The 17,369-nt window shown below is 46.5% G+C and overlaps 1 protein-coding gene and 1 long non-coding RNA gene across 3 annotated transcripts in view, besides 2 other annotated features; one reads left to right on the top strand and one right to left on the bottom strand.

Moving 5' to 3' along the window:
- Window positions 1-5,751, bottom strand: part of GALR1 (galanin receptor 1) — a 28,053-nt gene extending 22,302 nt beyond the window's left edge. For both annotated transcript variants that reach the window (NM_001480.4, XM_017025691.2), the window contains exon 1: window positions 4,385-5,751. In NM_001480.4, coding sequence (NP_001471.2) covers window positions 4,385-5,050 — 666 coding nt within the window. In that variant the 5' untranslated portion in view covers window positions 5,051-5,751. The remainder of the gene's footprint in view (window positions 1-4,384) is intronic.
- Window positions 4,101-4,772: an enhancer, noted in NCBI's record as "H3K27ac-H3K4me1 hESC enhancer chr18:74962783-74963454 (GRCh37/hg19 assembly coordinates)". NCBI's record gives its function as "activates a minimal SCP1, AML or CMV promoter by ChIP-STARR-seq in naive H9 embryonic stem cells {active_cell/tissue: H9 hESC(naive)}" and the evidence as "EXISTENCE:reporter gene assay evidence [ECO:0000049][PMID:30033119]".
- On the top strand, window positions 4,148-7,890 carry LOC124904329 (uncharacterized). Its single transcript, XR_007066422.1, has 2 exons — window positions 4,148-4,751; window positions 6,042-7,890. It is a non-coding gene; the product is annotated as an uncharacterized LOC124904329 (long non-coding RNA).
- Window positions 5,444-6,115: an enhancer, noted in NCBI's record as "H3K4me1 hESC enhancer chr18:74961440-74962111 (GRCh37/hg19 assembly coordinates)". NCBI's record gives its function as "activates a minimal SCP1, AML or CMV promoter by ChIP-STARR-seq in naive H9 embryonic stem cells {active_cell/tissue: H9 hESC(naive)}" and the evidence as "EXISTENCE:reporter gene assay evidence [ECO:0000049][PMID:30033119]".

The following is a 17,369-nucleotide window of genomic DNA, read 5'->3' as shown; positions in this document are numbered from 1 at the left end:
ATTCTTTCTCCTTCCTCTTATGGGCTGCCTCCACTGCAATTCTCCGTATGGCAAATCACCTCCCATCAGGCTTCCTTTCATTCTTTATTCAAATCCTACCCACTGTGCTGTGCTTTCAGACAACTTATTGGGGATTCAGCGTCACTGATGATTTACAGAACATTTTTGCAAGGTTTGACAATTAATGTCCCTGTCAGGGAATCTCCTTGAAACACACTGACTCCCTCAATTACAGAAACTATTTTTGTCTTTTCTTGCCAGTGTAATACTCAGGAGAAATGATATGAAAATGTGGGGTTTTAGATGTAGGAATTTCCAACATATATTTGGTCTTAGACAACGTTGTCAAGCCTGCAGAACTGTCACTTAAGTTCATTGCTATATCCCATCTGAGGGAAAAATCTAGAGAAAATCTAGCCCCAGGGCGACTAAGTGCTTTAGAGCATCTGTAGATTGCTGAGAAGTCTCTCAAGGAACCGGAAGCCATGTTCCAACCAGTTCTTTGTTCCCTGTAGCATGGAAATAATTTAATCGAATTGAACTTATTGCAAAAGCCTGCTCCATTCAGCCAGATGAGGCACTTTCAGAGCAATTAGTCACACCTTACTTGGAAGCCACAGGATATATTTACCAGCTGCCCAGGCCCTATGCAGGTGAACAAGCAGCCACCCCAGGGACGTGAATTTCTGACTTTAAATTCTCTCCCCTACCGAAATGCTTCCCACTTCCTGAAATGACTCAGCAACATCTGCAACAAAACAAGTGTTTACGTGCCGCAGGAGCATTTGGGAAAACACTCAATACATTGACAAGGTGTTAGTTTACTGTTCTACCAGCCGAAATGGGAGTATCAAAACCTGAATGCAAGGCAACGACAGAACAGGGATTTCCTGCAGGAGCAAATGAGAGCGTTTCAAAGGGGAAGGAAAGGGCTGGAGGAGGCAGGACCCTGCCCAAGAGGACAGGACTGCCTAGATGGCTCAGTGGCAGCCTTCCCAATGGGAAACCACAGGACAACACTGGTCACTGAGGACACAGGAGAGACAACAGGAGAGGCCGCACAAGCAAAATCAAAGAGGGACACCTGGACAAATCACAACAAAATGTCCAAATGTGACCAGCTTCATAACGCTGCCGAGCTCCAATTGTTCCTTCCAAAAAGGAATTCGGATCACAGCTCAGCCACTTCAAAACACCCAAGAATGTTGAATGCTGTTAAATGGTCAATGGAGAAAATACTCAAGTCTATTTTTATTAGCTCTGCTTCTCTTCAATAGCTCCTACTATGAGCACAGAATGATATATTATGATGCACCCCACTGAAGGTCTCAGCAGCAAAGGAGGAAGAATGTAGGTACCATGATAGGGTATGACGACGTTTAAGAAGAGAGTGATAATAACATACTGGGGTCTCTTGGTGAGTCTGTAAATTTCTGAGTGTGCACAGGAAGGTGCTAGCTCAAACCAAACCCAGGTCCTGCTGGCTACATCCTGGGGATTCGGAGTAACTTAGTCGAGTGGGCCCATTGAGTTTATCCTCATGGTAGACCAAGGAGATTCTGGACAGTAATTCACTCTAAGGGAAGTGAGCGAGGGGCACAGACCTGGTGAAGAACAGCTCCATAGCAGCAGAGGGGAGGGCTCTTCAGGGGGCACTGGGCAGACCACTTCGACTCATCCTCCCACCCATGTATTCGATGAGTTTCCCAGAAACTGTCTGGTGCAAAAGACTGCTCCCTTACAAACTTGTGAGAATTTGGAGGCAAAAGGCAACTCTGGAATGCAATTGTCTTAAGTTTTTTTGTTTATTTAAAGCATCATAACCTCAGGTTCCCTTTTAGCCATCTGTGTTTTTTCAGGCTATCCAAAAGGCCTGGGGTTTGGAGGAACAGCTAATCCTGAAACTAATACTCAAGTAGCAAAATCCTTAACTGGATGGTGCACACCTAATGCCTGAGCCAAAGAAAATCAACTTGAAATAACTGAAATCTCCACCTATCCATGACAGCCCTGAAATTAACTTGCAAATATTATGAATATTATGCTGAATTCAATTTACTCCTAAAATCTTACTTTGTCATTTCCAGTAAGAAGATTTTAGCTCTTCTCCCTGAAGGCTTTGGGGAAATAAGGAAGCGTGTGCTTCAGTTCTCCACAGTAATTAGGAACTTAACAGCCATATATGTTAAGAATCTCAATCTCAGACTTCAATGTCCTCAAGGCCTCACCAACTGTCCCGTCCTCAGAAGACTGGGAATCCCTGTGTTAAAATCCTTCCAGAATCATTCACCAGCTTCATAATCTGGGTCAGGTGTTCCTTTCCAAAGCTCTTTTTCCTTAAATAATAAAATACGGGTAAATAATAAAATAGCTCCAAGCCACAGAGTTGTGCAAATTAAATGAGATGGTGCACATATCAGATAATTGTGCTATGTAAGATAGCCTTTGTTTAGCATCTGCGGAAGACCACGTTAATAAACCAGCCATTTTCCAAATAGCTAAGCTAGAGTTCTTTTCCAAATTCCCTTACTGCTACTATATTGGTGGTGGTGGTGGTGGTGGTGATGGTGGTGATGGTGGTGGTGGTGGTGGTGGTGGTGGTGGTGGTGATGGTGGTGATGGTGGTGATGGTGGTGGTGATGGTGGTGATGGTGGTGGTGGTGGTGGTGGTGGTGATGGTGGTGGTGGTGGTGGTGGTGGTGATGGTGGTGGTGGTGATGGTGGTGGTGGTGGTGGTGGTGGTGTTTTGAGACAGAGTCTCGCTCCGTTGTCAGCCAGGCTAGAGTTCAGTGGCACGATTTCGGCTCACTGCACCCTCCGTCACTTGGGTTCAAACAATTCTTCTGTCTCAGCCTCCGGAGTAGCTGGGACTACAGGGGCCCGCCACCACACCCAGCTAATATTTGTATTTTTAGTAGAGACGGGGTTTCACCCTGTTGGTCAGGCTGGTCTCGAATTCCCGACCTCAGGTGATCCACCCACCTCGGCCTCCCAAAGTGGTACTGTATTTCTTCATATTTAACCTTTTGGTGCAGGCCGTTCAGATAATATCCAGCAATATTATTATTCAAAATAGACACAATCTACCTAGATGAAATAGGTGGGGGGAAACAGGTGGCTTATAGTAAACACTTTTGTTGATAAAAATACCTTGTGACTTGAGTATTAAAAGTGATAGTTGTTCTACCTAGTCAGGTTATTTGTGGTCGTATAGTCACAGCCTTATTGAAACAGAATGAGAGACAGCGGTGAAGTCGGGTGGAACTGGTAACAGCTGTATTTCAAATGGCGATGCTCTGGAGCGAGGAGGTTGCGCACATTAGGGTTTACCCGGTGAATCGCCATCACCTGATTATTAAAATAAGCTCCCGTTTACGCAAATAAAAACACGTATGTCAAAGGCTGAAGACGTTTTGATCAGTATAAAGTCTTCAAACCCTTGTGGACTTAATGAGAAAAAGAATGTGAGTGCTGAGCTCTGCCCGGCTGTACAAAGGGAAAAACTATCTCCCACACGCGTGGACGGTGCCTCTGCTACAGTTAGGGTGAAGACCCGCCGCCTCAACCACTTCACCCTGTTCAGGAGACCTTTCTAAAAAGGATTGAAATGGGGAAGCCGAAAGCTCGAGTCCATTCCATTCCAAGTTCCTGGAGCCTGCGGTCAAGACTCTGTAAAGAAACACCCTTTTGCACTTGGGTTTACAAAGCTAAGCTTCAGAATAAAATAAAATTCGAGGCTCTGTCCCCGGGAGCAGCGGCTTCACAGAGCCCGGTGTGCGCAAAGCCTTCGGAGCGAGGGCAAACTGCGCACCCCGGGGGAGAGGGGCCGCCCCGCGAGTCCCCCCCGCCACGGCCAGCTGAGAGCCCGGGAGGGAGCTGTGGGGACCCGTCACCCTCGCAAAAGGTCCGCGCTCTGGTGACCACCAGAGCTCTCCTCAGGTCCCACAGCGCCGCGGCGGTAACCTCCCCGCGCAGCTGATCTGGTTGAAGAGTTGCTGGAACCGAGCGGGGTTTGCTGTACCGGGAAGGATGCGGCAGCGCCCGCCTACCTACCGCCCAGGCAACCTGGGGGCGTTGAAGGGCCGCAGGGCCGAGGAAGGGGAGGGGAGGAGAAACTGGTTCTACTGGACCATGCGAAGTGAACTGCAAACTTTCCCCAGCATCTCTCAGACTCCAAGTAACTTTCTTGCGCAAGCCAATGGCACGCTCCAGCAGCGGCCAGGAAGCCTCTCTGCACAGATCCGTACCAGCGCCGCCAGAGTGGGGACCACCGGGGCCAGGCTGCCGCCAAGGCTCCGGCAGGGCCGCGGGACACTGAGACCCCAGGGCCCCCACCGGCCCTCCGCCCTCCCTCGCGCGTCTCGGCCCCGCGACCGGCGTGCACCTTGGCATAGCAGAAGCAGATGAGCAGGAGCGGCAGCAGGTAGCCGAAGACGAAGGTGCACACCACGTAGGCCTTCTTGTGGCGAGGGTCGGGCCACTGCTCCCAGCAGAAGGTCTGGTTGCTGGCGCGCGGGTGGAAGAGGCCCTGGTGGTAGGCCACGGGCGAGGCCATGGCAATGGACAGCGCCCAGATGCAGCCCACGCCCAGCAGCGCGTTGCGGGACACCCTGAGGGAGGAGGAGCGCCGCGAGTGCACGATGGCCACGTAGCGGTCCACGGACATCGCGGCCAGGGTGAAGATGCTCACCAGCATGGACACGGTGAAGAAGTAGTGGATGAACTTGCAGATGAAGGCGCCCAGCACCCAGGTGGGCAGCGCGTACACGGTGGCCTGGAAGGGGATGCAGAAGAGCAGGTAGGCCAGGTCGGCGATGCTCAGGTTGAGGATGAACAGGTTGGTGGTGCTCCGCGGCTTGCCCGGCTTGCTGCGCGCCAGCACGGTGATCACTAGGCTGTTGCCCAGCACACCCAGCGCGAAGATCAGGCCGAACACCACCAGCGTGACGAAGTTCTCCACGCCGATGCCGAACAGCGGCCCGGGCTCCGGGGCGGGGGGCTCCGGCCAGCTCGCGTTGCCCTCGCTGAGGTTCCCGACCGCCAGCTCCATGGCCCGCGGGGCTGTCCCGGCGAGCGGCGGGGCGCGCGGGGAGGGAGGGCGGGATAGTAGGCGCCGGGGGTGGCCAGGGGTCCCGGCGCAAAGCACGGAGAGTGCGAGTTTAGGAGTCTGAGCTTCCCCCGAGGCGCGAGCCAGCGGGAGCGGGGATCCGGTGGCCGTGCCTGGTGGCACCGTCTTTGCGCCGGGACCTTCTGAGAGAGGGTGGGTTCGGGAGCCCGGAGCTGGACCTTCTCGGGAAGGGACGGTGATCTCGAGAGCACTGGGGTCCCCTTCCCGGGCGCCTCCGCCCGCTGCGCGACCACGGAGCCTGGGAAGAGGGATCCGCCGGCTGCAGCCGCGCAGGTGGAAAGACCCTTCTCTCCGCCTTACCGCTCCAGATCTTCGCCGGCGGTTTTCCCTGGCTCCCGGAGGGGCTGCGTGCTGCACCTGTTGCTCGGAGCCGCTCCTTCCCGCGGCGCTTCCCCGCACTGCCCAGCGCGCAGCAGTGCACTGTGCGGCTCCTGCAGAGAAGGCTCCCCGCGCATCCCGCGCGCCCAGCGCCACCTCCCCAGTGGGCTGGCGCCTCCGACTCCCTCCCGGCTTTTCCAGGGATTCCGAGTCGTCCACAGGGCGAGAGCTCTTTTGGGAGGCTTCCTGGTGGTGGATAGAGTCGGGTGCCAGGGGCTTCTCTGCTGCAACTGAGAGGCGAAAACAGCTCGGCTGAAATCCGCGCCCCTTAGAAGTCACGGTGCGCGAGCAGAGACTGGACGGATTCTAGCGGGATGGGTCGCCGCCCACCTCCCGGCTGGAACCGGAGCGCGCTCGCCTCTGCGGAGTGCGGACCTGCCCGGCGGGCTGAAGGCGGGGCTGCCGGATGCCGCGGGCCAGGCGGGCGAGGGAAGCCGGGCGCGCTCCAGGGCGTTCCAGGGCGCGCCGGGGTGGGAGGCGGAGGGGTGCGCGGGCCTCCTCATCCATTAGTGCCTTTCCTCCTCCTCCTCCCCAGGGTGGCTGTCCGTGAGAACGCCTCTCTCCCAGGAATAACCCCAGGAAATCGAGGCTGGCGACGCTCCCTGGAGTTTTGTAAAATTGGCCGCCTAATCCCACCCTCACCCCGCGGCCTGCTACAGAGGAGAGAAGTGCAAAGGGAAAGGGCCGCGTGAGCTTCTCTATAGACGTGGCTGACATGGAAGGGGAAGGCTGTTCACACCACCCAACCTCACTTCATTTTTGCCTTGTATTACTCATCTGAGGGACATAAACTGCAGCAGTGACAAACGAAATATTTTTAAAGTGAAAGAAAGTGTTTAGTATCTTACTGCCGTAAATGTGGATTTGCCAGAAAGAAATTAAGCCGTTTCGGTATAGCAGGGCCAGTCACGTTAGCTTTGTAACCTTGGTGGTTCCCAGCTAGAGAGCTGACACTGATTCCTTTATTTGCGGTGATTTGTCTGTTTTCACTTTCAAAAACACCGATGCGTTTCCAGCATTCACCATCTGGTGACTGTCCATTATGCGCGGACGCAGTGCCTGAGGGGATGGGTAATCCAAAGACCAAAGAGGGCAGGGGCTCTTTGCCTTGAGGAGTTAAGGAAGTAGGATCTTGTTTTTCTACCTTGCTAGCTCTGTTCTGCCTCATTTCCAGATAAATCTTGATGCAGTTCATTGAACATCTATGTATTTTATCTACATTCATTGCTAGGGAGTTCCTTGCAAGGGAATTGTTCTATTCACACACATTTTCTGGAAGACAAAATTGAGTGTAAGCAACTTGCCTATTTGGGTATCCTGCTAAAGCCAAGAATGCTCTTACCTGCCCCGACCTGAGAGAATGCCTTGAAACTTCCTCAGGTGATCTTGCCAATCCGTATTGCTTTTCTTCCCTGAGACGCTCTCCGACCCAGGCTTTCAAAGTATCATGTTGTATTTGACAGCTCTGTTGCATTGAAAGTTAGTAGTAATATGATTTGGGAGAGTTTTTAAATTATGAACTATTTTCACATGAAACAGATATGATAAAATTACATTGAATACCAATGCACCCACCATCTAGCTTAGAATAATTTTTAAATATTATCACTAGAGTTGAAGTCACTTTTATATATTTTCCAGTCACAACCTCCACCTCTCCCACTATCTCCAAGTAACCTAAATTTGTTGTCTATTAGTCATTTCTTTATACATTTTTGGCATACGCATATGATCTTAATATATTGTGGTGATTTTTTTTTTTTTTTTTTTTTTTTTTGCTTTAACATTATGTGGTTGGTATTATGGTACATGTTTTGTTTGTTTTTGCCTTAAAGTATAATTTGTCTGTTATTGCTATAAGTACAACAACATTCTTTGCTTTGTATTTGCCTGTTACATCTTTTACAGCCTTCCTATGTTATGTCCTGCAATTTAAAGGTATCTCTTTAATATAGCACATAACTGAATTATTTTAAAACACAATTTTAAAATCTCTAGTTTTTAACTGGTGAGTTTAGGTCATTTATATTTATTGTTATTACTAACCTATATGGATTTATTTTTAACATTTTATTTTGTACTTTTTATTTGTTTTCTATTTCTGTGCTTTTTCTCTCTCTCTCTCTCTCTCTTTTCATGACATCTTTTGAATTGCATTTTAAAGTGTTTTCTCCCTCCCTCCACATTCTTGGAAAAGGAAGAAATATAGTGTATATTTATTGTTTTACTGGTTACCCTTGAGTGCCTACTATGTGCCAGGAACTATTGTAGGTTCTGGAGATAGAGCAATTAACACAACAAAGTACTTTCTTTTATGGATTTTACATTTCATTATGGACACGACATTTAAAAATAAATAAAATGATAATGTCACATGTGGTAAACACTACTGATATACTTTAGATATCTGTCCTCGCCAAATCTCTTATTGAATTATAATCCCTAATGTTGGAGGTGGAGCCCAGTGGGAGGGTTTGGATCAATGGGGTGGATCCCTCATGGCTTGGTGCTGTCCTCGGGACAGTGAGTCTGAAGATCTGGTTGTTTGAAAGTGTGTGGCACCTCCTCCCTTCCCTCTCTTGCTTCCGCTCCTGCCATGTAAGATGTATCTGCTCCCCCTTCACCTTCTGCCATGATTAGAAGCTTCCTGAGACCTCCCCAGAAGCTGAGCAGATGCCAGCACCATGCTTCCTGTACAGCCTGCAGAACTGTGAGCCAATGAAACCTCTTTTCTTTATAAAGTACCCAGCCTCAGGTGTTTCTTTATAGCAATGCAAGAATGGCCTAATACAACCCTAAAAGAGAAGAATGCAGGATAAGGGATAGAGAGCAGTTAGAGAGTATAACTATATACAGGGCAATAGGGAGAAACATCTGAAAAACTGACATTTGAGTAGGAACCTGAAGGAAGTACAGAAGGAAACCTTTTAAACACGTGGCATGACACATTCCCGGGAAACAGTGCAGCAGAGGAAGCTGTGTGAAGAACGAGGAGTACAGTTTTGCTGTCATGGAAACAGCTGGGAAGAAGATTTGTCAGCCACGAGGTCAGAAAACATTGGTTCAGGAAAATGGGGATGGATGACCTCAGACCTTGGAGAGCAAGGAAGGGGCCTGGGACTTCATTCTGGACTTCGGAGGAAGTCCTATAGGGAGTTTCAAGCAGAGAGATGTTATGCTCTGACCTGCGATTCAGAATGATGATTCTGGAGTACAGATTAGAAGAGCAAAGAAAAGAGCAGAAGACCAACCAGTAAGCTTGCAGGAACCCAGACAACAGATCGTTCTAGGTGTGGTGGGAAGGACCTGGATTCTGGATATCTCAATGTTGTAGCAAATGAGATTCGTTGGTGGATGGATTTAAGGTGGGAGAAAAGGGAGAGCAAGGTTGACTACCACGGTTTTAGTCTGACAGCCTGGATGGGAAATCACCATTTACTGAGTTGACACAAAGAGTGGAAGGAACAGGTTTGGAGGTGTGGAGCATCAAGTTAAATTTTAGGTGCTTGCTAGACATGGGACTGACAAGACTGCAGTTGGGTGGATTAGTCTTGAGTTAATGAGAGAGACCAGAGCTGGAGACATGGATTCAGAAGTTACTAAAATTCTATTAATATTAAATAGAATTTAAAATTAATTGTTATCACTCCCCTTCTCCCAAGCCATACAAGTTTCAGGAAGCCTTCTAACTCCAGTCACTTTTTGTCATTCTACCTGGTTTTGTTGCCCAGTTGTTTAGTTCTTTTAATTTCCCCCCAATTCGGCATATTTGTTGTGTGATACAGGCAATATCCAGTTTGGTGACCCACATTCTTACCCATGGCTTTCTGCACCTTCCTCTATTCATCTTAAGCCTTTTCCTTGTTTTTAGAGAATATATTTTAAGTTTTCCTTTAGTGATAGTCAATGATAAAAATTGCTCATTGGCTCTTATTATTGAATGGGAGTTGGCCAGATGGACAGTTCTTTTCTCCCAGTACACTGAGGATATTTTTCCACCTTCTGGATTTTGCTCCTGCTCTTGAGAAATCAGCTGATGTGCTTTCTGTCACTCCTTTAGAGATAATCTGACTTTTTTCTCTATTTCTAATATCTTCTCTTTATCATTGATGTTTTATAATTTCACTTTGATAGGTTTGTGATGATTTTCATTTTTTAGCCCTTCTTGTTGAGCTTCTGAAGCTAAAGATTAATATATTTTTCATCAGTTCTGGAAAAATTTTCAGCCATTATCTCTTTTACTTTCCCCATTCTTGGCACTCTCTCCTCCTGGAATTCTGAGAGACATAGCTTAGGCCTTTCCACTATCTCCTTCCTATCACTGACTCACTTTTTCATACTTTTCATCTCTTCATCTGTGCCAATTTATTGGTATTTCTTCAGCTGTACACCCTTGATTTAACTACTCTCCTTAAGTTCTCACAGAATTTTTTCAAATGTGCCAGGCCTATTTTTTAATATTTTCTTCCTCATTGCTGATGTTTCTAATTACCTCTCCTATTTATCTGAATATTTTAAATGTGCTGATTTTATATTCTGAAAATTCTAATATCTGAAGTCCTTGGAGTCTAATTATGCTTTTATTACTTCTACCAAGTTCCTATTCTCGTAGCTTGTTTCCAGTTTTGTTTTGTTTTGTTTTTGTCCTTTAGATTTCTGTTAAGCCAGAACATACCTGTGATGATTTGATAGACTTGAGTTAAGTGCATACTCCTATAAAAGTGTTTTTATTTGCTCTGCCATTGGCCCAATGGTACCATCAACTCAGGACATTTTTAAGTTAATTTCTCAGCATGATATGCATCAGGACACACAAGGGTAAATTCAAACCCCAAAACCTACATAAGAGAGGTAATGGGGGAGTGAATTCTCAGGTCTTTCCCTCCCACCTGGCCCTAAGGCTGCCACGGAGTTTTCTAGAAGTGTTTGTGGGCAGATTGCTTTGTTGTTCCCACTCATTTACTGCGCTCCCTATTGGAAGATTCTGTAATCCTGCCTCTCCCAGGTGAATTTCTGTGCTCCTCTCAGGGCAGAAATGAGTCTTACCCATTTCCTTCAGGCTTTGGCTGAGACAATGTGAGTGCAACAGCTGTGAGGTCATCCTGAGCTCAAGGTCTAAGCAATACCATGGGATTCATTCCTCGGGTACGAACACTGAGCATCCCCCTCAGGTACGAAGACTGTGCATCCCAGTGCAGGCTGCTGCTTTGGGCTGTGTTCTCCATGAATACGTGCCACAGGATTTCAGTTGACCCCAGTTAAAATGTCCCCTTAGCAAGAAATTAGCCTTTGTGGCTGTGAGCTACTTGTTACTGCAGCTTAATGCAGCAAAAGCTGACTACAGCACTTCTTTGCCAGGAAACTTTTTATAGGTGAATCCTTCACTAACAGTGTAGCCTTTCAAGGATCCTGCATTTTTACAAGGGTCTCAATTATCTGTCTTATTCTGTCTTATTCCAATTCTCTTAGAGTTGAATTCAAGACGACCTAGTCTCTCCTAATGGAAATTTTAAAACTCAGCAAGGCACAGTGGCTCATGTCTATAATCTTATCACTTTGGGAGGCCAAAGAGGGAGAATTGCTTGAAGCTAGGAGTTTGAGACCAGCCTGGGCAACAAAGCAAAATCCCATTTCTACAATAAAAATAAAAATAACATTAGCTGGTCATGCTGGCACCTGCTATAGTCCAGCTACTTGAGAAGCTGAGGCAGAAGGATTGCTTGAGCCCAGGAGTTGGAGGCTGCAGTAAGCTATGATCATACCACTGCATTCCAGCCTAGGTGAGAGAGTAAGACCTCATCTCTAAAAAATAATAATAATAATCTGTGACAGATGTTATGTGTGTTCACCACATTTTCAGTTCTCCCCTTCCAGGCTCCTGGAAGACTGCACTTCTCAGCCCCATTGATGTTTTGCAGGTCTGCAGAATCAGTTATGTCCAATCAAATAGAAAAGAAAGAGAAGCTTCCAAGCCACATGGAAGAACCCTCCCCATAGCTGTTCCAGCCAAGTGGACTCTTAGTAAGCGTCCTAACATACTCTGCTCTTCCTTAATTTTTTTTTCTTCCTACATGACAGACAGACCACCTATCTGAATGTCAATTTTCATTGTATTACACCTAGGATGTTTTGACTCATCGTTCAAGTCCCAGCTGCAATGTTATCTCATTTCCAGAGTCTTTTTGGCTGTCCCTGTTAGGGCGCATCACTCCTCCCTCTATACTCGCAGAAAACTCTGTCCTGGCTTCCCAAAGCACCCTCACAATGCTTTGTAACTTCGCATGTCGCGGGCAAGCATCTCGCAGTCCTTTAACCCGGGAGTCTCTCCAGAGCACATTGGGGTCGGCTCCAGGCAGCTGCTCTGGGTCTCTGGAGGTCTTCCACACAGCCAGGCACTGGCCAGGGAAGGACTTTTGGGGATGGATGCCATCGGCATCCTCCCTGCTTGCCCATGGGCCCTGTGTGTCTGTGACAACAGGGGCAGGGCCAGCCTGGGGACCTGGCTGCTCCGGTCACCTTGGAGATGCAGGCAGCCCACTGGGTGGATGAAGCACACTCCTGGGGTCTGAGGGCAGCTGCACAGGCACTGCTGGAGTCACAAACTCCTGGGGATTTGGGGGGGCAGGGGGCCACCATCCCCTCTGCCACTGACCCAGCCCCCTGGCTTCCCAGCCAGTCCCTGCTGGGCCCTCCTGCCCTGCATCCAGCCCCAAGGGTACGGCACAAGCACCAGCCTCGGTGTCCGCTGCACCCCTCCCCACTCTCGGGTCTCTAGGATGTTCCAGGCTCCACACAGGGACCACTGTTCCAGCAAGGCCACTCTCTCTCTGTAGCTTTAAACAGCAGGTTTTGGAACTCACAGCAGAAGTTGGACGCCATTCCCTTACCCCTACCTCTGGCATTGGGGACTGTTGTAATTTTCCCCCTGAGGGACATAATCCTGTCTAATAGTTAGGTTTTAGTGATATACAGGGTGTAGAACAGAAATAAAATATCTAGAACAAAATGGAAAAGGAAGCATTTAAAGTATTATCTGGCCACATTCATTTAACCACCTCCATACTCTGAAACACAGCAGACACATTCCTCATCTTTGCATCCTAAGCTAGCATGTGAGCATGCTAATGAATGAATAGTAATAAACCAGCATTAACCAAGTCATTAATAATTAGCAATAATTTTGAAAGAGTGTCTTATGTGCTATACTGTAGGAAATATGTTCACTATCTCTTTGAATTCTCATAACAACTCTATAAAGTTGGTGTTATTTTCACCATTTTACAAGCAAACAGCCAAGTCTTGGAAAGGTTAAACCAACCTTAGGACTCATGCACATTTTTGTTTGTGGTGATGGGATTTAAAGCTGGATCAATTTCAATCCACATACAATATTCTTAATCTTTATACTGTTGTAGAATATTTAGTATATACCTATGTCAGTCAAAGTATAGTGAGAGATGGTATCCTCTGAAACAAATTCATGGAGATTCATTCCCTGTGTAGAAAATACCTGAAGCAAGTACATATTTATCTGTCCAGCATCCCTACCTTCGAGAAACATTGTTTCACCACTCTATGGTAAAGCAGATTCATCCCCAGATGTCCCCCTACTCATGGGGTGGAGGGGCATATCTCATGGGACTAGAATATTATCTCATGCCAGTCCCATGAGATAATAACCTCCCGCTCTTCACAAGTGAACTTTAGTTAAATTTCTGCAACCAAAAAAAGGCTTGATGTAGCACTGCTTCATCATATACAATATATACATATTGTATATACATAATGCATCTTAGCTTTAGAAATCAGCATCTACCCAGGCCTAGCCAATCCAAATACCCCACAGGTTAATCTTCCCCTGATATTCCAAACTGCCACATCTACAAAAAGTTAGAATTGTTGGCGGCTGCTTTTGTCACTGTGTGAAGTAGGCCCCTTGAGGCCACCAATCATGTGGAGGGAAGCCAAGTGAAAAATGGAAATCAAGAAGCCCAGAGGATGTCACTATATCTGCTGGATCCAGCTGTGCCTGAAGCCAGTGCCCCGCCTAGACTTGCCAGTGTCATGAGATAAGCTCCTGCTCTTCACAAGTGCATTTTAGTTAAGTTTCTGCAACCAACAAAAGGCCTGATGTAGCACTGCTTCATGAGAAATATACATAATGCATCTTAGCTATTTATTTGTGCTCAATTTGAGAAATAAAATACATAGGAAAGAAAAAAGAATGCAAAATGATAAAAATTAAATAGGTACTTGAAACCAGATACTTCTGGTCTATTTTCCAGATTTAATACTTTAAATATTTTAATTTTTTATCTCTTTGCTTATTTATTTATTTATTTTTGAGACAGAGTCTTTCTCTGTCATCCAGGCTGGAGTGCAGTGGTTCAATCTCAGCTCACTGCAATCTCCAACCTCTACCTCCTGGGCTCAACCATCCTCCCACTTCAGCCTCCCATGTAGCTGGGACCACAGGTGTTCACCACGATGCCAGCCTAATTTTTGTATTTTTTGTAGAGACGGGTTTCACCATGTTACCTAGGCTGGTCTCGAATTCCTGGGTTTAAGCAATTCACCTCCCTGGGCCTCCCAAAGTGCTGGGATTACAGGTGTGAGGTACCATACCCAGTTTCTTCTTACTTAGATTTAAGGTAATCACTGTTTCCCTTAACGTCACTAAGAAAATAAAGTTTAAAGAATAGTAAGGGGTCATGCATTTGAGAGAGGTCATTGCTTTAAAGATTTTTTCTGTATTAACTCATTCCATTCATTCATTCAATCATCAAAGGAATAGACTTAAATTTAAATCATAATACAATTCCTTCCTCTACGCATGAAATGTAGGAAATTTCCACTAAGAAAGGATTACCCTGTGCAGCTTTTCCTAAACAAGCATATCTTACTCACTTGCATGATAAATGCACAAAAAGGTGCATGAATCGGAAGTCTACAGAGTGGCAGATCTTCAAAAGTTCTTCAGTGCTTCAAGAAAGCTGCATTTACACACCTTCCATAAAATGCAGGTCAGTGTGTGTTTGGGGGTGGGGATGCTGCAAGAAAATCGAAGATGCAGAAAGCAGGGGCCTTACAATTAGAGTCCTCTGCATTCCCAGAAAGGGACTGTGTCCCCTAACACAAAAGCTGTGTAAAACAGAAACAGGGCATCTCTGAATAACGAGGGCTGCCCTCCGGAAGCTCCTCATCAATCTCCTCAAAACCCACTGAAGTATGCTTGTAAGAACTGGAGCAGCTGGGAGTGTCTTTCGTGAACTGGTTCCTAACTTCTGACTACTAATAAATCCTAGAGGTGGGGGTCTGGCTTACATTATTCAGCACATTATGGATAATCCCACGCGGCTTGTCACCTACTGCAGCTCGTAAATGTTTTCTGGCTAATTAAGCTGAAGAAATGGCCTATCTTCCACTTACATAGCTGATGTTTTATATGTCAATATAATACTGGAACTTGTCCATTCTGAACAACACATTTGACTTCTTATTTCCCTTCTTTAAAGTCCATTTGGATTCCAATATTTAAAGGAGTTATCAATTTCATCTATCCAAGTCTATTTATAAGTTTATTTCCTACCTATCCCTCTATTCCATTTCTAAGTTTTGCATCAAAATAACTAGAAGGGGGCTGGGCGTGGTGGCTCAGGCCTGTAATTCCAGCACTTTGGGAGGCCAAGGTGGGCAGTTCAGCTGAGGTCAGGAGTTCAAGACTAGCCTGGCAAACATGGCAAAACCCCGTCTCTACCAAAAATACAAAAAATTAGCCAGGCATGATGGTGGGTGCCTGTAATCCCAGCTACTTGGGAAGCTGAGGTGGGAAAATCGCTTGAACCCAGGAGGCGGAGGTTGTAGTGAGCCGAGATCACACCACTGCACTCCAGGTTTTATTTTCTTAAACTACAGAATAGATGTAAAGAATGAGTTAACCTAGGAAACATGGTGAGACCCCCATCTCTACAAAAAATACAAAAATTAGCCAAGCATGGTGGTGCGTGCCTGTGGCCCCAGCTACCTGGGAGGATGAGGTGGGAGGATCATTTGACCCCAGGAGTTGGAGGCTGCAGTGAGCTATGATCATGTCACTGTACTCCCGCCTGAGCAACAGAGAAGAACCCATCTCAATCAAATAAAATAGAATAATAACTTACAAAGACTACAGTGAGACGGTTTTCTGACAAATTTAAGGTGAGAACCTCATGGCCAGCCATCTGTTGAGTTTTAAAATATAGTTCCCATCTATTGTTTTGCTGTATACATTTTACTCCCAGCAGTTTCAGATGACTAATACATCCAACTTTGGCCTCACCAAAAGGTGATATGCAGTCCTTGAGACTCAGGGGCCCTTCAGAAGTTAAGAGAAATGAGGAGCAGAGTGAGGAAGGAATGGCCAGCCCACAGGGTCAGGGAGGCAGCAGAGCAGCAACCCCACAGGGTCAGGGAGGCTACAGCAGCAGCCCCTGGGGGACGGGCCCAGGCTACAGCTGTACAGGTTCCCCTTGGGTCTGTTGGGGTGATCAGACCCAAAACTAGGTTATGGGGGTGACGAAGTCCGGCAGAGTCAAAAGAATGAGAAAAGACAGTTTGAGAGAGAAAGTGGGACCAGGGGGCTATTGCGAGTGTGGAAGCTGCAAAGGCCCCAAGCTCTGGAAGCCCAGACTATTTATTGGTGATCAAACAAAGAAACAGGTGGTGAGAATGTGGGGTTGAAAGGAAGGGTTGCATTAAGCACATGATTTACAGCTGTGATGGTTTAGCATCTGCTCTGCTACTTGAGATAACGGGGAGCAGGTTCTTTTAACTCAAGATACAATCGATCCTGGGAGAGCAAGGAGCAAGGAAGCAGCAAGTCTAGACACACTCCAGAGCCACAAGCCCTGGATTCTATCCAAGCCACGAGGGGTTTTATGCCCTGGGCTTAGACTGTGGTGTGTCAGGGTAGCCTTCTACCCTTTAGCACAGAGCTTGGTGTTCCAAACGCCACGAGGGGTTTTCGACCCTGGACCTTGTTCATGTTCCAAGACTCTTTTACATTATGTCAGACATGCAAGCCCTGCCTCAGCTTCTCCCAATACCCAGCTTTTCCCAACAGTGTCCAACCCCTGCAGAAACACACATCTGCCACAGGAACTTCCCTTCTTCCTTCCTGCATTTTTGCCCTTGCCAAGCCTCCTGAGCCCTTGGCTTCCTCGCTCCAAGGCCCTGACAGTGGGGAGGAGCTGAGGGTAAACACTGTTCCACATTCCATATGATCACATTTGTTTATCATAAGGAGAAACACATATGTTACTTATAGGAAGTAATGTGTAATGTGAGATGCTAAAATAAATAGCAAAATGATTTTTAAATTTTTTAGACATTATAGATTAATGGAGCTGGCAGTAAACAACCAATTTCTTCTTCTGTCCTCTCTCTAACCCAGGGTAACCCCAGCTGAGCTACTGTTCCGATTTGGGGGATTTACGCTAGTTGCCTCCTTTCTTTTGCCTCAGACGCTTTATTGGTAAAACAGAAATAATAATAGTCCCTCCCCCATGGAGTTGTTCTGAAAATTAAATGAACTAATAGATGTAAAGTTCCAAGAAAAGTGACGGCATAAAATAAGCAAGAAAAAATGCTACTTTTAAGTTATCCATCCATTCAGCTTGTGAATGTTTGCATTTTAACATACTTGCTTCTAACATGCTACTATTTTAGTATTTTATTCCTTCTCTCTGTAGTTCAGCTGATTCTATTATTTAAGATACTTGCATTCCTCATGACAGAACTTTATCACATCTCTCCATATTTATGATGTAATCAACTATCTGTTAATGTAATGGACCAATAGTAAAAACAATGCCAATTGCTGATC

The sequence above is a fragment of the Homo sapiens genome, chromosome 18, assembly GCF_000001405.40.
Source record: "Homo sapiens chromosome 18, GRCh38.p14 Primary Assembly".
Classification (NCBI taxonomy): Eukaryota; Metazoa; Chordata; class Mammalia; order Primates; family Hominidae; genus Homo; species Homo sapiens.
Note: the sequence above shows the minus strand (reverse complement) of the source record. Positions and strands in the feature narration are given on the sequence as shown.